Source organism: Homo sapiens, chromosome 5, assembly GCF_000001405.40.
Source record: "Homo sapiens chromosome 5, GRCh38.p14 Primary Assembly".
Taxonomy (NCBI): Eukaryota; Metazoa; Chordata; class Mammalia; order Primates; family Hominidae; genus Homo; species Homo sapiens.
This window is the reverse complement of record NC_000005.10, coordinates 102600275-102628022: the sequence shown is the minus strand read 5'-3', so window position 1 is coordinate 102628022 and position 27748 is coordinate 102600275. Positions and strand designations below refer to the sequence as shown.

General features: G+C 36.9%; 2 long non-coding RNA genes across 5 annotated transcripts in view; one reads left to right on the top strand and one right to left on the bottom strand.

The window, feature by feature from the left end:
* The window catches only part of LINC00491 (long intergenic non-protein coding RNA 491), a 62973-nt gene extending 43442 nt beyond the window's left edge, over positions 1-19531 (top strand). For 2 of the 4 annotated variants that reach the window (NR_103756.1, NR_103753.1), the window contains one exon: positions 18257-19531. This is a non-coding gene — a long non-coding RNA (long intergenic non-protein coding RNA 491). Of the gene's footprint in view, positions 1-10094; positions 10166-16067; positions 16131-18256 lie in introns of all 4 variants that reach the window. The other 2 variants (NR_103754.1, NR_103755.1) reach the window with 2 other exon arrangements.
* Positions 10434-27748, bottom strand: part of LINC00492 (long intergenic non-protein coding RNA 492) — a 36222-nt gene continuing 18907 nt past the window's right edge. Inside the window, exon 2 of the long non-coding RNA NR_047462.1 lies at positions 10434-10827. This is a non-coding gene — a long non-coding RNA (long intergenic non-protein coding RNA 492). The remainder of the gene's footprint in view (positions 10828-27748) is intronic.

The following is a 27748-nucleotide window of genomic DNA, read 5'->3' as shown; positions in this document are numbered from 1 at the left end:
TGCCTCTGGGAAATTAAGATATTTAGGTAATATTAAGCTTTTGGTATGCAACATAGGATTGTACAGCAAGTTAGTATTCTTACAAGCCAGGCTATTGTCTTAAGGAAGGATTTTCTAAATTTTTTTGGTTCCCTCAGTTGCCACATTAGCAACAGAATGTCTTGTACCATGTTGTCAATAAGCTATATTAACAATCAAACTGGAGGTCTCAGCCTTTGCCTATCATGGGGCTCAGATGGAACCTGGAAGGAGACTATGATTAAAAAGATATAAATGAAAAGCTGCCTCTTCCTGACCTTGAAATGCTATGAGAAGAGTAAGAGAGAAAAGGTCTAGGAGCAGAGACATTTAGATGTCTGCTCAGATTTTCACTTATTTGGAATTGGTCTAGAGAGGGACAGGTATATTAGTGAGGATACTACAGTGATAGCAGATGACTCATGTTTCCTATATCATCTAACAAACTGCCCTATACTGATCTAGATTACATTAACAGTCAAATAAATTTGAATGTCTCCAGCATGATTCATCACTCAGATCCTGTTGGTTAGTTTTTCCAGCCTATTCTTGCTTTCCTTGTGGTGTAGAAAAGAGTCTAATTTGAAAGCTTTCCAGAGGGGTTTTGTGCAGTGGGGAAAGGTGGCTTCTCAGCAAGGGCTGCTGAGTGGACAGCCTGAGCTGGGGCTGAGTGGTGTTAAAGGCAGACCTCCTATAGACCTATGGGAGAAGTTTAGGTGCACTCAGAATAGCCAGGAGCCATCACTAGGAGCATTACTTGAACCAAGAATATCAAAAAGTTAAAAAAAACTTCAAAGTTCCTGTGCTTCTGTCCTGGAGGTCCATAGGACCCCAAGGAATGAGATAGCCAAGGGCATCGCCCAAAGGCCAGAAGATGAAAAGATAGCATAAGGACCTTATAGTTCCTCAGCACCACAAGGTCATATAAGAAGGTCCCCATAGCTCTTCGCTCATATACCCATTCACCACTTGCAGAGCAAAGAAGGGGGAAGGTGAGACTATCTAAGAAAAATAACATTTTTATCTTATAGAGACTAAGTACCACTTAAAGGGATTATTTTGCTTATTGCATTTTATTAAGCTTTAACAATTGCCTACTTAGTTCATTTTTTGCCGATTTAGTTAGCAGAGGAGTGGGCATGAAGAATCAAAAGGAAGATCACGGTAGCTAGCACAAAATGAAGACATTACTATTTGCTCTGCAATTCCAAAATGCAGTATGATTTAGTAGTATCTACTCTGATATAGTCATATTCTTTAACATATCAAGTATCCTAACCATTAAATATGGGGACCTCAAACTGGCCTTTACCAAATTATCTTCATTCTACCTCTGCAATATTTCTTTTCCTTCCTTCTTTCCAACCAGGTCTTGCTCTCTTCCCCAGGCTGGAGGGCAATAACGTGGCATGCAATCATAGCTCACCACAGCCTCAACCACTTGGGCTCAAGTGATCCTCCCACCTCAGCCTCCCGAAGTCCTGGGATTATAGGCATGAGCCACTGTGCGCAGCCCTCTGCAATATTTCTAAACTCTCTTTGTCATAGCTATCCTGCTATTGCCCTAGTCCAGACCTTTCAGCCTCACTTGGACTAAACCTTTTATACTGTGTCTTCAATTCATGGCTTGCCACTCCAGTCCATCTACAGTTTTTTTTTTTGCCATGTGGATTTTACTGAACACCTCACCCCTTGCCATTTCATTGCTCCAAAATCATCTTGCCTAAATAACAAATTCCACATTCTTTAGACTGGGATTTGAAATTTTCTTGGATAGAGCTTCAATCCACCAACAGGTCTTTTTAGGATCTTTGGAAGAGCATACACATCCTCTCTTTGTGTCTGTGTTTATATTGGCTCTACTTCTTGGAAAGTCCTTCCTTTCCCATCTGTATAAGCTCGTAAACTCTGCAAATTCAAGCTTTAGAACAAATGTACCTCTTCCAAAAAGTTTTTCGTAACCCACTCAGGTAAAAAGCATTTTTACTATCTCCTCTCAGCATCGTTTGCATGGTCCATATTGGGAGAGTCTTATCTGTTCTATGAGACTATATTTTTTTTACAGTGCCTTGCTCATGATGGTTGTTGAATATATTTTTAAAAATTTGACTGGGTAAAGGGAGGCTATATATATGTTAGACTGTAATGCTTAATTAGTAATGTTAAACAGATGTGTATTATTTACTCTACATGGACACTGAATGATTTTTAAGAGATACAAATTAAATAAAAATAATTTCTTATGCCATGTAACACATCCATAAATGTTGTTGCTGATAAGTTAAACAGGAATGTGTGAAAAGTCATTGTAAACTATAACAGTTGGAGCCTATCTGAAGGCCTATAAATACCTAAAGAGGGCTCTTGCAAACTGAAGGATGGTTTTAATAGAACAAACTGTTCCATTTAGATTACATGAACACACAGTTTTAAAAATACAAAATTAGTGTCTTGTTTATAGTTCTCTACCCACTGGATTTTAGCAGCTTCTTTATTTTCAAACCACTTGAAAAGAAACAAATGAAAACTTACATAACATGAACAAAGATTTTTGAGCCATGTTTTTTTTTCCTAATAGAAAATTTTTCTTCTTCTGAAACATCATGAGTAATTTATTCTGATGATGAACATGTTTTCAACATAATTGATGTCCTATAATTTCAGAGTGGAGAAGCAATATTGGATTTCATATATTAAAACAGTTTGATTTTCCAACTCTAAAATATATTTGAAATGTGGACATTCTCATTGATTTTTGTCTTCATAGTCTATATGCCAAGGACACTGTATATTTTGGAGACCAGTAGTGTTTTCTTTCTTTTTGATTCTTGTCTTTGTGAAGTAGCAAAATTGAGATAAGAAAGTGGAATATTCAAGCATCCTTATAAACTGTTAAAAATAGTCAACAAACTGAATAAATATCCCTTAGATGCTTGAGATCTTTCATAGACTCAATTCTTGTGTGTTAGGAAAATCTTTAGTATAGGGGACCCACTTATGGAGAGGAAAATAATTCTTTCTAGTCTTCCCTACCTCCCGTTTTTCTTTCAAACAAGGGTTTGTAAAAATGAAATTTGATTCAAGAATCTAATTTGAGAGTTATAAGATGAATACAAAAAGGAAATCTCTCTATTTTGAATGAAGTTAACCTTATTCAGGGACATATATCAGAGACATAATGTACGGTACCAATTTTAATCAATATCTCAAGATGAACCAGATCAAGACTGATGTTACACTTTAGCAGACTAAACAACAGGAAAATGGCCTGTCCTGAAAAGTGTGTGCACGTGAGTGTTTTTAAAGACCGATTGGGAAACTGCTATCATGATGTGCATTAAGTCAGAACCAAGCAGGCATTTCCCTTGCCCTTCGTGCTTGAATGCAAGGAGAGACAGGGAGGAGTGCCACTTCGGGAGGCCTCTACCTTCCTCTCCTCTTTGGCATGCACTAATTGACAGCCCCTCACACCTCGTTTCCCTTCACTCGGTTTATATACACAGGGTGACTGCTTTTTGGTCTACATGAGTCAGTATATTTATTTGGTAGAATTGATGAGCCTTGACCCCATAAAAACTGTATTGGAATAAAACAAAACACAATCATTTTCAAATCCAGTAATTTTACAGCCTATTAAAGGACTCTTTAGAGAAATCATTATGCATTTTATTAATCTAAAAAATTCAGTGTGTTCATATGAATGCATGTTCCCTCTTCTATTGTTGTGGTTGTTCTGTTAAGTTTCCATCTTATGAAACTAGCCCACTAGCCAAGGATAGATTTGCAAAGCAAATAGTATAGACTGATAGTCTGTGGTGTATTTATTACATGATTAGTTTAGATATCTTTTCTTCTTCCCTAGTGTAGCATTTTGATAATTAGTTGCTTGCTTTCTGATATTTAGTTTCTAATTCACTCTTTAAATCTAGCTAGGAGGAAATTTAAGTTAAAATGATAAGCATTGTATCTCATATACACTAATTAAATTGTCTTTTAAAAAGATGACTTGCATGTATATCTGTTTAACATGTTTCATTGAAACTGTTACAGTGGTATGTAATTTTAATGTAAAATAACCCTCTTTGCAGGGAATTGAGCCTGCTGCTGGATCTTTAAATTTTCAGTGTCTGTTGTCATAGTAACCAGAATTGACTCTGGTACCCACTGTGTTCAACATAAATTAATTTAAAGACACAGCGTTTGAAACAGTTTAGTCAATTTTAAGTAGGCATCTGGCTAAGCCTCAGATTTCAATGCTGTTTTTTATTTAAAATGTCATTAAATGTGTTCTTTTTATGTTAATTATACTTATTTGTAGGATTCAGTACCTCAAATGTGATTTAAGATAAATGTGGAAAAACTGGTTCCTGAACTGCCTGTGAGATGTACACTTCTAATGATGTAAAAGGTGTTTCCTTTTTAAAAACAGAGGAATGTTCCTGCTTGTCCTGCCCAAATACCCTGGTATTATCTGAATATATAGTCTTGACGTCACCTAAATAAATCTTCATTTCGCATGTATTTATCAAAGATCCCTCAGCCCAGTACTGTGATAATCTTTCTAGGAGGAGGAAGCTGGCTATCTTCTGGCACTTTTTATGCCGGATAGACCCATCCCTATTACCTTGATGAGGCATGGATTTTCTTATTAAATAATTTGAATGAGGTTTAAAATATTTTTTCATGTAACCTCTGGGGCTTTTGGTTTTCTAGGTAGATACAGTGAAAAAACCAAAGAGGAAGAGAGAGAGAGATCTAGAGAGAGTTATTTTGGTGAGGTTCAAACTCATCCTGCTTTTCTTTTTTGACCTAGACAATTTTTACAGCTATTCCTACTGTATTTGATCAGTGAATATTTTATTTTTCACACTCTATTACTATTAAAGCAAATATATAGACTATACATTATGATAGACAAAGCTTAAGAGAGTAGTGATGCTTTCACAATATCATGAGATTAATATTTTTATTATAGAAAATTTTTTTCCATATTTTTAGTAGTTCTATTTTTTCCAATTATAGATACTGTACCTTGTTTCTGAGGAATAACTTTGTTTTTCACAGCGCTGTTAGGCTTTATGTTATGCTTTTCTGATCATGGGAAATATCATGGCTACTATGCAGAAAATAAAATACACATCCAAAAATTTCTTCTCTTCTTAGAAAATATGCAGTTTACTCTGAAATGGCTTCATTTCCTCTGAACCATCAAATGCCAACTTGAAGTCTTCTGAACCATAATCCTTCACTTTTGGATTTAAATGATAGACTAGCGTGTAGGATTTCAGGAGCACTGCCTTCATATTTCTTCTGAAATTAGAAAGAACTCTATACATTAAATATTTAGAATTCTAGTTATACACATAAAACTCAGCTGCTACATCAGCCTAAGGTTTATGCGCATGAGTTGTTTTTTTATCTTGCTGTATTGATAGAAACCAGAACAAGACATTTAAGAAAAGACAGAAATCTGTTGCAGCCCTCGTGTGACTCATTGATGCCCACCAGATAGTGTCATTAATAAAACAGCAGAGACAACACATCTGAAATTCATTGCTCCTGAGGGGATTGTTCTGCAATATATGTATGTCACCCACGCACACATATATATGTAGACAGAGAGAGAGAGTGTGTGTCAAAATGAAGAAGTTTAAAAACTTCCTTTTTTTGAATTAAATCCCCTGAACATCTGTCTCTAAATGAGTATGCCATCAGTCATTATGCTAAATCTTCTTTTTTTGATTACCATAAATAAATTTGTATATTTATCACTAGATTCACTTGAGAACATGTTTTGAAAAGAAGTGTGAGAATTCCTTCAATAATAAACACATGCCTGGGAATTAAAAATAATCATAATTTAATGTGATCATTTGATCCATAATTCAATGCTTGATATGAATGAAATCTGATACAGTTTATAATGGTCCGCAGGAGGTGATAATTAAAGTTGGAGAAAAGAATCTACTAGGAAATTTCAGGGATGAAAATTACTCTCAATTTCATCCTGAGAAACCTACATTTGATATGGTGACAGAGATTCAGAGTTGGGGAAAAAGAGGAGTCACTTTTATAAAGCAATATCATAAGGCTCATGACCACAGCTCTCCCCTTCCCCAGTAACAGCATCCTGTGATAATGAGCTTTGTCTAAAATGCAAGGGGCTTCAGGACTCATATGACTATTAAAGTTATCCTGAAATGGATTTATAAATTCCAGCTCTGTTCATATTGCATAGTCATAAATAAAAAAAAATTGAGAATAATAATATTTCAAAAAAATTATTTTACTCCCCCTCTTTCTTACCACCCCCCTCCACCTTAGTGCTAGTAATCTTTGGCAATCTAGAGAGACAGCAGAATTTGCTGAAAAAGGAATACAAAGGCAGATAATAGTGATATGGTCTGGCTCTGTGTCCCCACCCAAATCTCATCTTGAATTGTAATGTGAATTGTAATTCCCATGTGTTGGGGGAGGGACCTCATGGGAGGTGATTAGATCATGGAGGCAGTCCCACCATGCTGTTCTCATGACAGTGAGTGAGTTCTCATGAGATCTGATGGTTTTGTCAGGGGCTTTTCCCCCTTTCCCTCTGCACTTCTCCTTCCTGCCACTATATGAAGAAGGACATGTTTGCTTCTTCTTCCACCATGATTGTAAGTTTCCTGAGGCCTCCTCAGCCATGCAGAAGTGCATGTCAATTAAATCTCTTTCCTTTATAAATTACCCAGTCTTGGGTATGTCTTTATTATTAATAGCAGCATGAGAATGAACTAATACAGTCAGATTCTGCCTTGCTAAATAAGATTATAATGTAACATAATAGTCAGTCAACTGTCTTAAGATAGGATTTCCCAATGTCCTCTATCCTCCTTTTGCTTTTAGTAGCTCAGGTGTTAAACTTGCAGCATTCTTTTGTAGAATAGAGGAGTTTCCCCTTCTGCCTTTGACAATGAAGCCACAGAATACATCTTAAGGACAGAAAGGAGAGGAGAAGAGGTACAGGACATAAACATATTATTTCCTGGCCTGGTAATTTGTTAGAGATCACAGAGAAAGCAAGAAAGATTTCCTTTCTCCATGCTAGTTATAGAGTACCTGTGGTATTAAGAGTGAAAGTGGTAGGAAAGGATGGAGGGCAAGGAGAAGGTATTGTCTTGCTCCCCATTTGTGATTCTGAAAAGTGGTCACCTCTCTGATTGCAACTGTATCATTTTCTAGGCCAGACCACACCAATGAGACTGCTCAGTGCTCAGGAAGGAGACTGTAAAGTTTAGGATTTCAGTATGGCATGAAAACAAGTTGAGCCAGATATCTGTCATAGCAGCAGAAGCAAAAGTCAAACCAATGGACTGAAAGAAGGGTCAGTAGGAATGGGAATTGAGGTGAAGTCTAGCCAGCCTCTGTTCTGCCCATGACAGACCTGAGTTCCAGTACACACAAGCTTTAGTTGTGAGTGCCAGAAGAGTCAGCTGCTTTCAGGAAGACTAGGGCTGTTATCCTAAAAATCAGAGGACCCTGATCCTTTCCTTCTGCCATGAGGTTAACCAACTGCTCTCAGCATACATCTTGGCATACTGCTGTCCCAAGTTCATGAGAGGCTCTGCTCATTATTTTTTTCAGTCATGCCTCTCTTTGTGCTTCAGTATATATAATTTATTTTGACTATCTTCAAGTTTACTAATGTTTTCTTGTATTGTATCCAATCCAGTATGAATCTTATTCAATTTTTTTTTACTTTGGATATATATTTTTTCAGTTTTAAACTTCTTATCTGTTCATTTTTGAACAGTATTCACATATGTCCTGAAATTTCCTAATCTCATTATATTCAACTTTTCCTTCAGATTCTCTTGCATATTTGTTAGGGTTACCTTAAAGTTGTCTATTAATACTAAGATCTGGTTTGTTTTAGTATATTAACTATTCTTCCTCTCTTGACTATGGGTCATCTATTTCTCTAATTGTTCATATGTCTAGTCATTTTTGATTACATACTGGATATTGTATGGATACGATAGAGACTCTGGATCCAATTGTTTTTTCTATCAGGCAGTTAAATTGTTAAATCACTTAGTCTTGGATTGTAGTCTTTAATCCTAAAGTGTGGTTCTTCTGCAATTTTTTTTTTTTTGTGAGACAGAGTCTCACCCTGTCACCCAGGCTGGAGTGTGCAGTGGCGTGATCTTGGCTCACTGCAACCTCCACCTCCCGAGTTCAAGCAATTCTCATGCCTAAGCCTCCCTAGTAGCCGGGACTACAGCCGTGTGCCACTATGCCTGGCTAATTTTTTGTATTTTTAGTAGAGATGGGGTTTCACCGTGTGTTAGCCAGGATGGTCTCAATCTCCTGACCTCATGATCTGCCTGCCTCGGCCTCCCAAAGTACTGGGACTACAGGCGTGAGCCACCACACCCAGCCTCTTCTGTGATTTTAATAGAAATCCTGAGGTACTTCATAAGCCAGTCAAACTTGATATAACTCTAATTCCCAATCTTGACTCTCCTGTAGTGTGCATCCACTAAAGTCATTGTTAACTGCTGCCTTCCTGCAAGCTCCTTGGAGTCTCACCCTAACTGTCAGCAGTTTAGTTTGAATGGGGGTTATACAAAGATTTTGGGGTTTTCCTTTCTGTAACACCCTCCCTTCCAGAATTTCTCCCCCTCAATATCCAGCCACTCGGGCAGCCCCCAGATCTCTCATCTGATTTTTCCAGTAATAATGTTTTGTTTGAGCTCTATCTATCCGGAGCTGTTTTCAAATCCTGACAATTTTCAAATATGACAATTTTGTCACTGTTTAGTGGCTTCGAATAGTAGTTTTTTTCCCACTTAACTTTCTAATTGTTAACAGCAGGAGGGCTAGTCTAATATAAGCTACTTTGCCTTTACTGAAAGCCAGAATTCCTAAAGTGGAAATGTCCTTCAGTGTATAGACCAAGAATGGTAGGTGATAAGGTTCAAAATACAAAAAAAAAAAAAAAAAAAAAAAAAGCTTAATCATGTATGGCTTCTTAATCCTTGGCAAGAGGTTGATGTTTATTCTAAGCATTATACCGGCATTACCAGGAAATTTTAAGCAAATGAGTGCTTCAATCTTATTTATGAATACAGTGGTAATTCTACATGAAAATATGCTAAATGATAATATTGGTAGTTCTACATGGAAATGGTAAATAATAGTACTGGATAGTGTTTATTAATAATAAAGTGCATGTCAGGCAGTAAGAAGTAACATAACATAAAACTTTATAGTGGGAGATGATACTAATGATTTACACAGGCAATGATACTCACCACCTGACTTATTAGGAAATAAAAGAGAAATAATTATGGCTTTAAAAATTGGGATTGTTTTGATAACTGAGGATGAGTCCTTTATTCACTCATTTATTTAATACTGTCCAGCTACTGTTCTAGATACTAAGGATACAACAGGAAATAAATACATTCTCTGGAGAAATGTAAGACAAGTCTATGTAGTTTTGACATTTTATCTTTGACAACCCCAAATACAGTCAGAAACTTACCTTCTCAATGAGATCTGGTAATTGAACATTTCTTTAACTTCTTTTACTAGAGATCAAATGTGAATCCCGAGTTACAGAAAAAAAAAATACATGATAAAAACCTCTTCAAATCATGGATAAGGCATGACAATAACAATTCCTTTTAACATGAGTTCCAATTTGATGAAATAAATTATCATTTTTATATTACCAAAGATTATTTCTGACAGAAGAACATGGACTACTTTATACCTCTCTTGGCAAAATGATGAGGTAGGGTTGTAGTTTATCTGTAAATGTTTTACTCTCACTTAGGAGGCTATAAAAATGATTTAAATTAGGAAGAAATTCTCCTGTCAGTTGCAGAAGGAAAACCATGAGCCTCCTAAGGAAAATCTCTGAGTTTGTGTGTGTGTGTGTGCGTGTGTGTGTGTGTGTTTGTGCAAGAGTGGCCAGCTCAAAAGCCATCAGCCAAATAATAAAACTAAAATAAATATTTACAGATCCATTGCATGCAACTCTGTTCTCTTGGTTTGTCAGGGAATCATACTTAACTTTCTTATTTCAGGGCTTTTGGCTCAATTCTGAATAAACAGTGAACATCCATGTGGGAGCAATGAGGAGGAACTGTAGCATCTGGTATGGCTTTAAAAATAACTTCCTACTTATGTAACTGAGATTTTACCAAAGATCAATGAGCTTTTTCAGGTCTGAGACCTAAGGTTGGATGGCATGAAATAGTTCCTTTGGAAGCTGTTGATTCATGTAGCACTGTTATTTTGAAAGAAAAACATTCCTACCCAAGAAGCAGATGTTAACAGACCATAGCCCTAGAGTCATAACTCTAGGTTATTGAGATCTAAGTTTTTGTTCTCAGCTTCATTTACAATCATTAAGAGTCTTTTACTTTTAGTTACTTCTTTATTGATCTCATACCACACATTTCTTCTAGTCTGTACAAAATGTCAACTTACGTAGGGTGGGCATATCTGCATCCACAATCAAGCAAGCCTGCTCGGTTACAACACAAAATGGTGCCTATTGGCTCATTGTTTCTAGATGACAATGTTATTCATGATGTTGCGTGCTTCCAAGACAAAAACCACTTTATTGCATTAGCAGCTAAACCCTGTGATGCCTTTGGAATATGATACTGTAGAACCGTCTTTAGCTTCTCAGCTCTGGGGAGTTGTAGAACATGTTGAAATCAGAACTTATTTGTGGTTCATCTGAAGAAATATTCATCTGGGTTCTCTTTTAAACTTCCTTTGTAAGATGTTTTTCTTCAATGACAAATGCATCTGTAAATGGAAAGTACTTTCTGAAGAATTCTGAACTTTGATATTTTATAATAAATGTCCCACCATCTCTGGTAAGTAGGAGCCTAATAAATATTAAACCAGTGTATAATAATAGGTACTAAGCATAGGTCCTATGCAATACTTTTGGGGGGATGAATAGGATTAACAAGTGGGTTTCCATACTAATTTATTGACACATCGTAAGACATTTCTATAACTTATATATTTTTCCTGTGTTCCCCTTTCTTATTCTTTATTTTCTACAGCATATGAAATTGCTACTCCTGTAAAATGAGTCTGAGATTCAGGGGACACTGAAATACTGGAAGTGATGTATATTTTAGAAAGAAAGTTTGTGCAAGTCTACCTCCACATATCATCAAAAAGATAGAAAAAAAATAAAAGGAGGAAGACCACATGTCTTGAAGGCTGTAGTGATATCCAGTATATATTTATGGTTTGTCATCCTGTCATCTGATCATTAGCTCTTGATTTAGCTGTTGTGGTTGTTTTTTTAAATAATTTTTGTCTCTACTGAACTCTAGGAAAATAATTTGTGCATCCTAATTGGCTATCTTTGCCTTATTTGTGTGAATTATGCAAATTTTTAGTCATTCCTATACCCCATATAATCAAATTATTGTGCTAATAAAAACAGACTGCATATGCTTAGGCCATAGACTCTACCTTCATGTGCTACAAGAAACATTGTTGCTTTTCTCAATCAGATTGAATGTAACAAAAAGTTTTTTTCATGGAAAAGGAAATAAACCCTGAAAGATTTTAGAGAAGCATTATGCAATGTAGAAAAGAATGGAGCAAACACTCAAGAAAAGAGATTTGATGAAAGACTGAGTGGGGTAAATTTGGAAAATTTTACCTCTGAAAGAGTTAAATTTATATATATACATATCAATATTTCAATAAACATTGAATAATATTAATTTACGTTTTGTTACTTATTATACCCCAAATGCGTACCCAGAACTCTGCTGGAGGAACACATAGTTAAAGCTCATATCCTTGATGTTTTAACTTTTAAGCCAATACCCAAATTTACATATTCTCCAAGTGACTGGTTGTGCAAAATATTGTTTGATTTGGTAGATTCCCTCCATATTCTTTTAAAAACTTGATAGAGACAAAATAATAGGATGTGTCTGTTAGCCATCTATGAAGCTGATTATGAGGTTATTGTAATGGAGATTAACTGTTAGAAAATGACTAGCAATAACTTTGTCATTAGATTGCATGTAAGAACTGAAATTCTCCATGCTGACCCAATCTCAATCTTTGTATGGTCTTCCCTTCCCTCAGAGTGGATTGTTTTCTTGCTTCGTCTTTCCCATGATTATCTGATGCCTACTTTCAAAGAAGCCCTCCACATCTTTGAAATCAATAGTCTACATTCCTGAGGTTGCAGGCCTTCTATGTTATTTTGAATCCATTGCTTCCACTTTGTGCCTTTACTGAAAGAAAAATTTAGAAACATGGGGAGTTTTCTTGGCATCTTATTATTTTCATATTTTCTCTTTCCGTAAAAGATGTTTCATCCCAGCAAATAAAATGCAATACAGTTTTCAAAGTCAAACAAAACCCAGCATATTCACATATGGTATTTCCTTTCTAAATATTTCTTGTCTCCTTTAACTTGGCATTCTGGTTGGGTCGGTGCTGAGATTCATCAATATTATTTTGTGTGATTTGACGAAACCCATTTCCTTAGCTCCTATCCCAGAGATAATTTTTGTTTTGTTTTTCTTTGTGCTCTGAACAGGCAAAGCCTTCTTAGCTGTCATATAATCTTTAGGGATGCTGTTGGGCTCTTGGGAGAAATATTCCTTTATTCAAAGAAACGATCTGTCAGGGTAGGCTAGACTCAGCAGCAAACCCTGGTAGTGTTTGACCCATCACATCAAGAAACTTAGCAGCACTTGTATGATTGGGAAGGAGAAGAAGGGGATGTGAAATAATTGTATTATCAGGGTCTCTAGCCTCTCTGCTCCTGTGCTAAAAAGATACTAGATGAGTAGCCCCAGGAGTAAGTAATAGTGAAGAGAAATGCTTTAAAGTATTTTCTCAAACTTAGCAAACTTTGTGGACTCCCAAAAAGGCATAAGAAGATAAAAGGCTGAGTGATATGTTCTTCTCACCAATTGGGTGATTAAATGTCTGAGCTGGGGGAAAACTCTTACCTTACATGGGCCCTATAAGTAAAGGAAAAAAAGGAAAGCATTTGGCTGTGATGTTGTAAGAGAATAGTTATACTTAAAACACCTCCAATGTATCCCATTTTTCTGGATCCTTTTCAGACAAGCAAATGCTGAGGGAATTCATTACCACCAGACCAGCCTTACAAGAGCTCCTGAAGGAAGCACTAAATATGAAAAGAAAGGACCATTACCAGCCACTACAAAAACACTCTTAAGTACACAAACCAGTGACACTATAAAGCAACCACATAAACAAGTCTGCAAAATAACCAACTAACATCATGTTGGCAAGATCAAATCTACAAATATCAATACTAACCTTAAATGCAAATGGGCTAAATGCATCAATTAAAATACACAGAGTGGTGAGCTGGATAAACAACCAAGACCCACTGCTACACTGTCTTCAAGAGACTCATCTCACATGCAAAGACACATATAGACTCAAAATAAAGAGATGGAGGAAAATCTACCAAGCAAATGGAAAATGGAAAAAAGCAGGGGTTGCAATCCTAGTTTCTGACAAAACAGACCTTAAACCAACAAAGATCAAAAAGACAAAGAAGGGCATTACACAATGGTAAAGGGTTCAATTCAACAAGAAGACCTAAACTATCTTAAATATATACACACCCAACACAGGAGCACTTAGATTCATCAAGCAAGTTCTTAGAGACTTCCAAAGAGACTTAGACTCCTACACAATAATAGTGGGAGACTTTAACATCCCACTGACAGATCATTAAGACAGGAAGTTAACAAAGATATTCAGGACCTGAACTCAGCTCTGGATCAAATGGACCTGACAGACATTCACAAAACACTCTACCCTAAAACAACAGAATATACTTATGTATTAGTCAATTCTCATGCTGCTATAAAGAACTGCCTGAGACTCAGTAATTTACAAAGGAAAGAGGCTTAATTTACTCATAGTTCTATGGGGCTTGGAGGGGGCCTCAGAAAACTTACAATCATGGCAGAAGGGGAAGAAAACACATCCTTCTTCACATGGCAGCAGGAAGAAGAGTGAGTGAAATGCGGAAGCTCCTTATAAAACCATCTGATGTCATGAGAACTCAGTCACAGTCTTGAGAACAGCATGAGGATAACCACTCCCATAATTCAATTACCTCGCACCAGGTCCCTGCCATGACACATGGGGATTATAGGAACTGCAATTCAAGATGAGATTTGCTTGGGGATACAGCCAAAACATATCAACAGCTCATTGCCACAGGCTCTTATTCTAAAATTGACCACATAATCAGAAGTAAAAGACTCCTCAGCAAATGCAAAATAACTGAAATAATAATAAACAGTCTCTCAGACCACAGTGTAATCAAATTAGAACTCAAAACTAAGATAGTCACTCAACACCATACAATTACATGGAAATTGAATAACCTGCTCCCAAATGACTTTTGGATAAGTAAGAAAATTAAGGTAGAAATCAAGAAGTTCTTTGAAACTACTGAGAACAAATATACAACATACCAGAATCTCTGGGACATAGCTAAGGCAGTGTTAAGAGGGAAATTTATAGCACTAAAAGCCCACATCAAAAAGTTAGAAAGATCTCAAGTTAGCAACCTAATATCACAACTAAAAGAACTAGAGAACCAAGAACAAACAAAGTCCTTAGCTAGCAGAAGACAAGAAATACCAAAACTCAGAGCTGAACTGAGGGAGATTCAGACACAAAAATCATTCAAAAGATCAATGAATCCAGGAGCTGATTATTTGAAAAAAATAATAAAATAGATAGATTGGTAGATAGATTAATAAAGAAGAAAAGAGAGAGGATTCAAATAAACACAATCAGAAACAACAAGGAAGATATCACCACTGACCCCACAGAAATACAAATAACAGAGAATATTACAAACACCTGTATGTACATAAACTAGAAAATCTAGTAGAAATGGATAGATTCCTGACACATACACCCTTCCAAGACTAAACCAGGAAGAAATTGAATCCCTGCAGCAAACCACCACAGCACGTGTATACCTATGTAACTAATCTGCATGTTCTGCACATGTACCCCAGAACTTAAAGTATAATAAAAAAAAATAAATTGAATCCCTGAACAGACCAATAACACGTTCTGAAATTGAGGCAGTAATAAATAGCCTGCCAACCAAGAAAAGCCTAGGATCAGACAGATTCACAGCTGAATTTGAGCAGATGTACAAAGAAGAGCTGGTACCATTCCTACAGACACTATTCCCAAAAAATTGAGGAGGAGGGACTCCTCCCCAACTCATTCTATGAGGCCAGTATCATCCTGATATTAAAACCTGGCAGAGATACAACAAAAAAAGAAAACTTCAAGCCAATACCCTTGATGAACATTGATGCAAAAATCCATAACAATATACTGGCAAACCGAATCCAACAGCATGTCAAAAATCTTATCCATCACGATCAAGTAGGCTTCATCCTAGGGATGCAAGATTGGTTCAACAAATGCAAATCAATAAATGTGATTCATCACATAAAGAGAACTAAAGACACAAACCACATGGTTATTTCAATCGATGCAGAAATGGCTTTTCATAAAATTCGGTGTCCCTTCATGTTAAAAACTCTGAATAAACTAGGTATTGGAGGAACCTACCTCAAAATAATAAGAACCATATGTAATAAACCCACAGCTGATGTCATGGTGAATGGGCAAAAGCTGGAAGCATTCCCCTGGAAAACCAGCACAAGACAAGGATGCCCTCTCTCACCACTCCTGTTCATCATAGCATTGGAAGTTCTGGCCAGGGCAATCAGGCAAGAGAAAGAAATAAATGGCATTATTTTTAAATTGGAATAATTACCTTTACCTCTTTTTACCAAAATGTTAAGGCTGAAGTATTTTTAGCATCTCAGGACAGTTACTCTCATCATATATCAAACTAAATCTCCTAGAAGCAATCTATCCACATCCATATCAGTTCAATCTCAGAAATCAGTATCTCAATGGGTACTGTGTACCCAAATCATCTGCTAGAATAAAACCTCTCTCTGTGACAGGAACAGTCCAAAAAGGAAGCTGGGAGTCAGCCCATCACGAGGTTGCTTGATCAGAATCACATGGTGAGAAACTCCATATATCCTCCTGATATTCTGAATGGTCTGTTGGGTGAGATTCTCCCTTTCCCCCAATTCCCCTTTCCTCCCACACTGAGAGTTCTAGCCTTACAGGTGAGAATATGTTAGATTCCTTGTGGATGCTGGGGAAGGGAAAAGGTAATTAAATACTGAATTTGAGCCTGATGTGGTAAGATTATGTTCATAGATCCCATTTGCTGAAGGTTTTTGTCAAGTCAGACTCTTTTCCTTAGCCCATGTATTTTGCTCTTGTGAGCAACTTGGGGAGACAGTTAAAAGGTTGAGCATGAATGGCTTCTCCTTGCTGGAAAGTTGTCTATATGCCTTGTCGACTGTGGGTAAGCCAGATCATCTTGCCATATATAAGACACACATGAGTCATCAACAGCTTATCCAGGAAGACACAATTACAGCTTGATCCCTTCTGTAAAAGTTCTTCAGGATACAGAGAGGACATGCCAACTAGAGATTAAGTATGTTTGCCTGAAATCAATAATTAAAATTCATTCTCCAAATTTGGGCTTTTTGTGCTAAATCAAGATTTGAAATTTGGGTATTGACAAGCTAATATTCTGCTTCTTAAACAATGTCCAGAAAAGGATTACTTGAATTAAGTGTATCATTATTAAAATAATTAAAATTCTACCTTTTATAAGGTAATACATTTTCAAAACATCACATTGAGCCTCTTTTTAATGATTCAAAATGAAGAAGTTAAATTTAGATAAACATCAAGGACTAATCAATAAAAAAATTAGAGTAATACTGAAACCTTATATGATCTGCATTTAAAACAGTTCTGCTCAGTACAACAAACATTTATTGAATGCATACAATATCCTAGGTACTAATAATAAAATGATCAATAAAACATTATTCTTGTCACTTAATCTCAGGTAAGGGATGAGAGAATTGACCTAAACAATAATACATGTAAAAAATAGGCAGTAGAATATGGAAGTGGATGCTGCATAGTAGACTTTGGAGACAGATAGGACTTAACTACTTAATTAAGAGAGCTCTTGCTCTTGCTCTAACTCTGTGTTTTTACATAAGCTACTTTATTCTTCCCTACCTTTGTTTTATCATTTTTGGCACAAAATAAGCATTCAATAAATAGAAGCTAATAACAATAATAAAAAAAATGTGTTGGGTACCGAAGTAATATGCCATAGAGAATGATTTTGGGAAGTTGATCCAGGAAGGCTTGTAAGAGGAGATTATGTGTCCAAAGGGTTTTGATACAGGAAGAGAAATTTGCTAGGTAGTTAATATTTATAAAAATACTCCAGGCAAAGAAGACATGTTCAAAGGCAGAGGAGGCAGTAGCTCTAAAACCAGGTAACAGTTTAATATTGCTGTTGCATTCATTAGCTGTTGAAAAGTAATGAGAGATGAGGCTGGAGAAGAGGCAGGGGCCAGTTTATTAGGAGGCTTTGCCCTGACAAGAAGTTTGAACTTGATCTTTTAGGACAGAGAGTGAAGATATACTTTTTTGTGATTTTTTTTGTTTCACATTTGCTTTATTTTCTTTTATTTTATCCAAGATTTAAAAATGGGATATTGCCCTTAAACTCCATGATTTTTGGCTTCTCTTGAAAATTTGCCACCATTAATCTGCATTTTCTCATGGCAGCTATTGATTGGAGATAAGCAATGTCTGCCTCTTCACAGGCATGTGCTCTCTTCATGGGCAATGAGAAAACTTCGAGGGTTTTAAGTAGATTTGTTATGTGGTGAGCTATGTCATAGGACTCTCCTTGTGTTTTTTCACTGTAGTTGAGGAGGAGGAGGCCAGGAGTTGAGAAGGGGTAATTGGATATGACACCGCCAAAAGCTAAGTTAATGGAAGAAGGATACATAATGTGATTAATCTTGGTTAGAGAAAGATACGTTAAAAAAAGCAAAATAAAGTTAAACATTCCTCTAGAAAAGGGGATGGGAATTTCATATATAGAGTTGGTAACTATTATTGTTTGGAAATTAACTCTTGTGGGACAAGATATCTGAATTTTTAAAAAAGATATTGCTAAAGAAAAACAGAAAAATAAAATTAAGCTGCAGTACAAAATGGACAATCAACCCAAATATTCTTTCTCTCCTCTTCTCAGAACTGGAAATTCCCTGTCTCCCCTTAACCAGCACTGGAAGCAGATGGGAAGAGAATAGCTGTGACTGACTCACACTCTAACCCAGCAACCCTCAGCATACAAGTGGGAGACCATAAAGTTTTTCAAGACCCCAAAAGAGGCCAAAGGTCTGATAATTGCTGGGAGAAGGTCCACTATCCAAGAAGAGAAGAGGAAAAGGAATTAAAGTCTCCAAGCACTGGGGATGCAAGAAGAGAGTTGCACAGGAGAGAAAGAAGAAGTTGTCCACGGGGTGACCCTGCAATTGGAGGGAAATGCATGTGGATATGTGCAGGGAGTCTAGGAAGTGAAGCCTTAGTGATCATTTACAAGAATGAGGGTTAGGTAAAATAAGGGATGCAAAGCCACCTGTAGTCTATTCTAACCTCACTCCATCACTCTATACAATCTGTGTTTTATCATCTGAAATGTTAAGTAAAGACCTGTTTGGGTCTTCTTCAGAATCCCATACATTTGAGTTCATTAGTCAGAAAAAGGGAAAATACCACCACCCCATCCTGGAATGGCAGTCATGTACACTTTTATAATGAGAGATTGGGCAGCAAAGGGGGCCCCTTGTGGACCTCACCCAGCCAGAGAAGGAGGCAGAATGTTTCCTTTACTATCTTTTCCTCTCCCCAGAGGAACACTACATATTGTTCCCTCCATGGGCTTAAGAGAAGGTGCCAGGGTTACAGATAGATATATCGCTAGCTGTAGAGCACAGGGTGAATTGGGATGTCCATGTACAAAGCTAGGGACAGGAGAATCAGTTTAAAGACTTTAAAAATAATTAGGAAAAAAAGGAAGGCCTGACCCAAAGCTTAGGAGTGCAGGTAGAGAAGAGATGGTGCCATGATATACCATGTCTCTGGGACTTTTCTGTATTCCTCTTCCTCTGTATACTGTATTGCCCTCATTCCCTATTTATTCAAAATCTGTGCTACCTCCACTGCGAAGACTTCCACGAGAAAATTCAGATATTTCTTCTTTTGTGGACACTTTCTACCTTACAAATAAGTTAATTTTAATTCAAGGAAGAGTTTTTCCGGAACCCTGTTGGCCTGCTCACAGGAATGTAAGTTCCTTAAATCTAGGGCACAGTGTCTTTGAGAACTGCAATCACCTACATCAACATGACATAGCTATTAGGACTAAGAACAGAGACCACCTGTGTCAACATGAGTTACTATTTTTTTCCGTGAAACATTTGTCCAAGAAAGATAAGACTGTAACCAATAAATAGTTTGCAAGTAATTCCTGCAAATCAATTTGTCTGAGATAACACTCTGCTTGACTAGGCAAATAGCTCACTTATCAAACAGCAATTTATTCGTTAAAACCATCATCTTGCTCTGATGACCAATACTAAGCTATTATGTGCTGACCACTGCTCCATCTCAATCCATTTTCTACTTTGAAGGGCCCTTTTAAACTACCTGAGGTAGACCTCCAAATCCTATAAATACCTTCTTTTGTACAACATTGCTAAGACTGTCAAGGGGGTGTTCTCTCTTACTACAGTGAGGGAGGCTATCTGGCGGTGATATTTTGAAGTATTCAACATCTTTCGTTCTAAATCCATCCTGAAATATTTATGAAGCTCACGGCAGTGCTTAGTAAATATTTGTTGAAAGAAGTATTTAAGAGGAAAATCAATGTGACGATGTTGGTAGATAGGAAAGTCAAGGATACTTCAAAAGTATGAAGTTAACTTGTGCCATCACTTAAGAGGGCAAAAACACAAGAGCATATTTTCAGTGAGAAGACAGTGATTTCAATTCTAGGTATGTTGTTTGACATTGCTGGGATGTGGAAATAGAGAGGTCTGATACACATGCTCTGTGCTCAGTGATGAAAGGCCCCCAGGAATAAGATTTGTGAGGAAGTTTGGGAACTTGTTTTCTTAATTAGTGGTTCTCAAAGTATGATCTTCAGGCCAGCAACATCAGCACCACTGGGGACTTTGTGGAAATGTAAATTTTGGGGCCCAGGCCACACCTACTTAATTGAAAAGTCTGGGATGGGGTTCAACTATCAGTGTTTTAAGAAGTCCTCCAGGTGATCTGCTATACCATGAAGTTTGAGGACCACTATCTTAAAAATTAATCAGAACTACCAAGCTCTAATGCTCAATGCTATCCAGACTTTTGGTGATAAACCTACTAAGGCATGCTAACATTGTGTTCTTTGTACAGCCAGGTCCTCCCTAACAGGGGATCTAAGAGGCTATAAATAAAAGCAATGAAAGCTTTTACTCTATGCATTTGAATGCTAGCTATACCACTTTCTATTTATGTGTCTTAGGAAGTAAATTGCTTAACCTTTTTGAGCCTAGGGTCCTCATCTGTAAAATGGGAATGCTAATGGTACCTATTTCATTGAATTCTTCTGATGATTAAATGAGTTCATATATGTAAAGTGCTTAAAGCTGTAATAAGTTTGCTGCTTTTAAAATCTTTACTCATTTAGAAAGTCACTTGCCCCTGGTCCCCCCAACCTTTTTTTTTTTTTTTTTTTTGAGATGGAGTCTCACTCTGTTGCCCAGGATGGAGTGCAGTGGCGCGATCTCAGCTCACTGCAAGCTCTGCCTCCCGGGTTCACGCCATTCTCCTGCCTCAGCCTCCCGAGTAGCTAGGACTACAGGCGCCTGCCACCACGCCTGGCTAATTTTTTGTATTTTTAGTAGAGATGGGGTTTCACCGTGTTAGCCAGGATGGTCTCAATCTCCTGACCTCGTGATCCACCCGTCTCAGCCTCCCAAAGTGCTAGGATTACAGGCCTGAGACACCGCGCCCGCCACCCCCCCTCTTTTCTTTAACTGGCCTAACTAAATATTTAGTCTTTTCAAGTTTACCTCAAACCTCTCACGTGTGAAAGCTCTACTGGTTAGCCCTAGAGTTAATTATATTGTATTGCTTGGCTCATAGGAGGTATTTAATAAACACATTAGTTGACTGAATGAGCACTCTAGTCCTCATTTCTTTATTTCTTCTCTGAATTTTATAGATTTATTATCAGTACCTCTTATTTTGACACTAAACTATACCTTGTTGTATTTATGCCTTGCTTCCTAATCATATTATAAGCTCTTGGAGAGGAAGTATTGTGCTTTACTTATCTTGTCCACCTAACACAGCACCTGGCAGTGCTAACCACACAAACAGAATTCATTAATAATTTGTGCAAAATGAGGAATTTTTTTGGTCACAAATCCATTTACCCTACTAAGTTTTCCAATTTATTATTTTCCTCATATCACAACTATTATTTACCCTATTAAGTTTTCCAGTTTATTATTTTCCTCATCTCACAACCATTTCAAAATCTTAAACTTCCACCACTTTCTCCCAAGGATCACAAGATTAAAAGAACAGAATATTTTTTCCCATTTCTGATGTCAGCCAGTAAAATCACTCTTATTATGTTGAGCTTCCATGTCAACCACATAAATTCAGCCTAAAATTCCTAAGATTATTCCTTAAATCAAAGCTAGGGTGTTATGTATGACCTGCTACTCTGTTTTTTCCTTTTTCTTTTTTTTTTTTTTTTTTTTTGAGATGGAGTTTCACTCTTGTTGCCCAGGCTGGAGTGCAGCGCAGGATCTCAGCTCACTGCAACCTCCACCTCCTGGGTTCAAGCGATTATCTTGTCTCGGCCTCCTGAATAGCTGGGATTACAGCACCTGCCACCATACCCGGCTAATTTTTTGTATATTTATTTATTTAGAGACAGAGTTTTGCTGTTGTTGCCCAGACTGGAGTGCAATGGTGAGATCTTGGCTCACCGCAACCTCCGCCTCACAGGTTCAAGCGTTGTTCCTGCCTCAGCCTCCCGAGTAGCTGGGATTACAGGCATGCGCCACCACACCCGGCTAATTTTGTATTTTTAGTAGAGATGGCGTTTCTCCATGTTGGCCAGGCAGGTCTCGAACTCCTGAACTCAGGTAATCCACCTGCCTCAGCCTCTCAAAGTGCTGGGATTACAGGCGTGAGCCACCGCACCTGGCCTGACCTGTTAATATCAAGCCAGAATAATGGCACGCTCTATCTCTCCAGAAGGACACCTTTACTGCTAAGAAACGATGTTGCTTATCCTCTATGTAACTCTATTTTACCAGCAGCTTACTTCAGCTTTCCTTTAACCTATCTAGTAAGCTCACTGCTTTGTGTAGCACTGAATTGAAATTCTGCTGGCACAGAGGATTTAAAATTTCCATCTTATATAGTTATGAAGCTCCTTTAAACATATAGATAATTAATGTAATTTATATAATGAAAGGTGAACATTAGAGCCAAATAAATCTGATATCAAAATTTAAGCTTTGTTACTAGTTTGCTTTGTGACCTTTAGTAAACTACTCAACACATTTGAGCCTCTATTTACTCATCTGTAGACAAGGACATAAATATTCACTTATGATGTTATGTGTGGAGATTAAATAAGACAAGTTAAGTACCCAGCATGTGAAAAATATTCAATAAATGATGAATTATAACAAAACAAATAAGCAAAGAGAGCAAAGTAGTGTAAATATCAGAAACAGAGGCCATTCTAGAGTCTAAAGACACATTGGCATTATGAAAACATGATCTCTGGTATTGTGGAATTAGTTCTATTCCAAAATTCTATTTAAATTTTATTCAAGAGTGGCCCCATCAAATCTCAAATCACTTTACTTTTGATAATTGATCTTCAAGTAAGATCTCTTAATTAATTACGTAACTGAAAGATCTCTGCCACACTTCTATCCTTAGAGATTGTTCACGGTTCACATGTGACTTCGTAGACCAGGAAATCTCATAACCCCTAGGCAAAGGCTTGCTGCAGCTATTCACTAAGCACATCTCAGTAACTCCTCTGGAAAATATTGAGTGTCCTTTCTCCAGGATCTGTGGAAATAGTTGTACTCTCCAAAGGCTCTTTTCATTTTTCTCCATAAAACTCTAGAGGGAACAGTGAGAAACTGAAAATCTAATGATACTTTTTTTCCTTTTATCCAGAAAGACATGTGCATTCAAGAGGAAAGCAGAAAAGTCTCTGGGTAGGCAGGACCCAGGTGGTCTGGATGGCAGAAACTGTTCTGAAGGGCTGTTTGGAGATAAGAATATAGTAATATACAAGTATGTCCCATATGATTTGTAAGAATATTATTTTTTGGGGAAAAGCTGGAAGGATTCCCCTTGAAAACTGGCCCAAGACAAGGATGCCCTCTCTCACCACTCCTATTCAACATAGTATTGGAAGTTCTTGCCAGGGCAATCAGACAAGAGAAAGAAATAAAGTGCATCCAAATAGGAAGAGAGGAAGTCCAATTATCCCTGTTTGCAGGCAACATCATTCTATGTCTAGAAAACCCCATAGTTGTGGCCCAAAAGCTCCTTAAGCTGATAAACAACTTCAGCAAAGTTTCAGGATATAAAACCAATGAATGAAAATCACTAGTATTCCTGTACATCAACAACAGCCAAGCTGAGAGCCAAATCAGGAACGCAATTTCATTCACAATTGCTACAAAAAAGAATAAAATACCTAGGAATACAGCTAATCAGGGAGGTGAAAGATCTCTACAATGAGAGTTGCAAAACAGTGCTGAAAGAAATTAGAGGTGACACAAAAAAATGGAAAAACATTCCATACCCATGGATAGGAAGAATCAATATTATTAAAATGGCCATACTGCCCAAAGGAATTTACATTGAATCTCAATGCTATTCCTATCAAACTAACAATGACATTCTTCACAGAACTAGAAAAAACTATTTAAAAATTCATATGAAACTAAAAAGGAGCCTGAATCACCAAGGCAATCCTAAGCTAAAAGAACAAAACAGGAGGTATCATGTTACCTGACTTTAAATTATGCTACAGGGTTACAGTAACCAAAAACAGCATGGTACTGGTACAAAAACAGACATAGAACAATGGAACAGAATAGAGAGGCTAGAAATAAGTCTGCATGCCTACAGCCAACTGATCTTTGACAGAGCTGACAAAAACAGGCAATAGGGAAAAGACTTCCTATTCAATAAATAGTGTTGGGATAACTGGCTAGCCATATGCAGAAGACTGAAATTGGACTCCTTCCTTACATCATGTAAAAAAATCAACTCAAGGTGGGTTAGAGACTTAAATGTAAAACCCAAAACTATAAAAAGCCTGGAAGGTAACCTAGGCAATATCATAATTCTGGATATAAGAATGAACAAAGATTTCGTGATGAAGACACCAAAAGCAATTGGAACAAGAGCAAAAATTGGCAAATGGGATCTAATTAAACGTAAGAACTTTTGCATAGCAAAAGAGACCATCAACAGAGTAAACACACGACCTACAGAATGGGAGAAAATTTTTGCAAACTACACGGCTGACAAAAGTCTAATACCCAGTATTTATAAGGAACTTAAACAAATTTACAAGAAAAAAGCCACAATCCCATTAAAAAGTGGGCAAAGGACATGAGCAGACAGTTTTCAAAAGAAGACATTTACTTAGCCAACAAACATGTGAAAAAAACCTCAATATCCCTGATCATTAGAGAAATGCAAATCAAAACCACAATGAGATACCATCTCACAGAGGTCAAAATGGCTATCATTAAAAAGTCAAAAAATAACAGATGCTGACAATGTCGTGGAGAAAAGGGAACATTTATACACTGTTGGTGGGAGTGTAAATTAGTGATCCATTATGGAAAACAGTGTGGTGATTCCTCAAAGAGCTAAGAACAGAACTACTATTTGATCCAGCAATCCCATTACTGGGTATCTACCCAGAAGAATATCAATTATTCTACCCTTAAAGACATGTGCATGTGAATGTTCACTGCAGCACTATTCACAATAGTAAAGACATGGAATCAACCTAAATGCTCATCAATGACAGATTGAATAAAGAAAATGTTGTACATATACACCATGGAATACTATGCAGCCATAAAAACAAGATCATGTCATTTGTGGGAACATGGATGGAGCTGGAGGCCATTATCCTTCGCAAACTAATGCAGGAACAGAAAACCAAATACTGCAAGGTCTAACTTATAAGTGGGAGCTAAATGATGAGAACTCGTGGACACGAACAGGGGAACAACAAACACTGGAGCCTACTTGAGGGTGGAGGCTGGGAGAAGGAAGAGGAGCAGAAAAAGTAACTATTGGGTACTGGGCTTAGAGCTTAGATATGTATAACAAATCCCCATGACACAAGCTTACCTGTATAACAAACCTGCACATGTACTCCTGAACCTCAAATAAAAGTTAAAAAATAATATTATTTAATTTATTTTTCTTGCAAAGCACCTGGAACAATTTCATGATTGATATTCTGAATCTAGTTTTATGTTCCACTGATTCACATATGAGAATAGCTACTATCATTCCTACTTTCCTCTCATCATCTCTTTTGGGGAACAGAGTTATTTTGGGACCCAGTGAAGGGGAAGTGGCATTCTTAAATAACCTGGGGTTCAGAAGTGGAGGCAGCAAATATCTAGGGCCAGTTTTCAGAAGTTGACTTCAAAGAAAAACTCATTTCCAGCTGGAACACAGACTTGGCTGCAGGCCCTCTGCTGCAAGTCTTCTGCTGCAAATTTCTTCTTCAGATAGCCAAATAGAACTTCATTTATATTAATATGCTTTCTATATTTTAGAAGGCAAATCTCTCTAAGGGGTCTAGAAACTCACATCATTCATACATCGGTATAAATTGCTTACTTGAATTCAATAAGTTATTTCTCTCTGGAATTCTGCATTATGAAACCTATACATATGTGTGGTAGATTAAACAGAAGAATAAACCACTGACACCTATAAATAATAATTGAGTTGATTAAATTACAGCTACATATATTTTGTGCTGTAATTAATATGTGTTCTCTATTCTTCCTCCTGTGGGGAAAAGCAAAGGAGTGTTTTTAATTCTTATATAAACATGATTCCCACCTCTCACTTATGACTATAAAAAAAAGTATGCTGTCAGGAATAGTCAGAATGTTCCCAGTATTCAAATTTGGTTTTGATTTATAAAAGCCTCCTTTTGACATCTGTGTTTCCTAGTTATTTCCGTGCTTTTTCCATGTCATGGTCTCATCATCCTTTTTAATATCTTGAAAAAGTAGTCAATATTTACTTCTATTTCCTCTTTTCTATTTCAAAACTTTGTAATCCAAATTTTGTCCCCACTATTTTCTCAAATCACTTTACACAGCAAAATGATGTATTCATGTTAGTCAAATTTGAAGGTCTCCTCTATGTTCTCATACACTCAATTTTATTACAAAATTGAATCATCTTCTCCATATCTTTGATTCGGTGTTTTTTTCTTCCATCTCTTAGAACACCTGATTTACTCACTTCTCTTCTAGTGCACTTTGTTCAAAAATTAGAAGAATTCCTTAAAGATACTTCCGTGACTTAAACCAGTGGTTCTCAGCTCTGGTTGTACATTAGAATCACCTGGGAAATGTTGAAATACTAATGATGCCTGGGTACTATCCCAAGAGGTTCAGAATTAATTATTCTGAGGTACAGCCTGAGTATTTGGAGTTTTTATTAACAGTTCCCCAGATGATTCTGGCATTCTGCCAGGACAGAAAACAGTCTTAAACTGTGACTCAGATTTCAGGGAAGGCTATTTTTTTTTTTTGAGGTTCAAACAAAATTGGTCCAAGCTCCTGTTCCATGGGAAGCCCCAGGTCCTCTTTAAATAACTTTTAATTCTGGGGATTGACATTCTCGTCGTCCTTTCTGGTTATACATTTTTAACTTTCTCAACATTTCATTTCATTTGCATCTCACCTCCTTAATCAAATGGTCCTCTTACTTCTGCTCTACACAAATCAAGATGTAGAACTTGGCCCCCTTTCCCTGAACCACACAGAGAAGACATTTTCATGGTGGTAGACTTTTCTGAAGATTTGCGTCAATCTAAAGGTTTTGCATTCAGGCAAATAAGCATGGAAAATTTATCTGTAGACTGTAACTTCCTGCCATATACCTGAGGTTTCTTTTGCCTGAAAGACTGTTCTCACATATTAAGTATCTTCTTATTCTAAATAGTTTAGATTTCCATCCCTTTGGCTCACTTCTTAGTATCAGTCTCATCAGTCTCTTAAAATGGAATAGAGTAGTATATAGGTTAATTTTTCCTCTAATAGAAATTGTATCTCCTCTTAAGGCAACTGCAAAACAAGTAGACTGGGAGAGATATAGAAGAGGAGGTTTAAAAAAGAAAAGAAAAATCTTATTACTCACAATGTATTTCAATCCCTGCTCCTGCCCAAGTCATAAAGAAATCTAATGTCAGAAGAAACACAAACAAAATCAAGAATCAAAGCAAAAAATTAATCCAGATGAAAAAGATTTGAAATAAGTATGCTTTGGATGTTCAAACAGATGAATGAGGCATGGTTTCCACTTTTAAAAGACAACAAATTATTAATTAACACAGACAAAAATGAAACTGGTAGATATT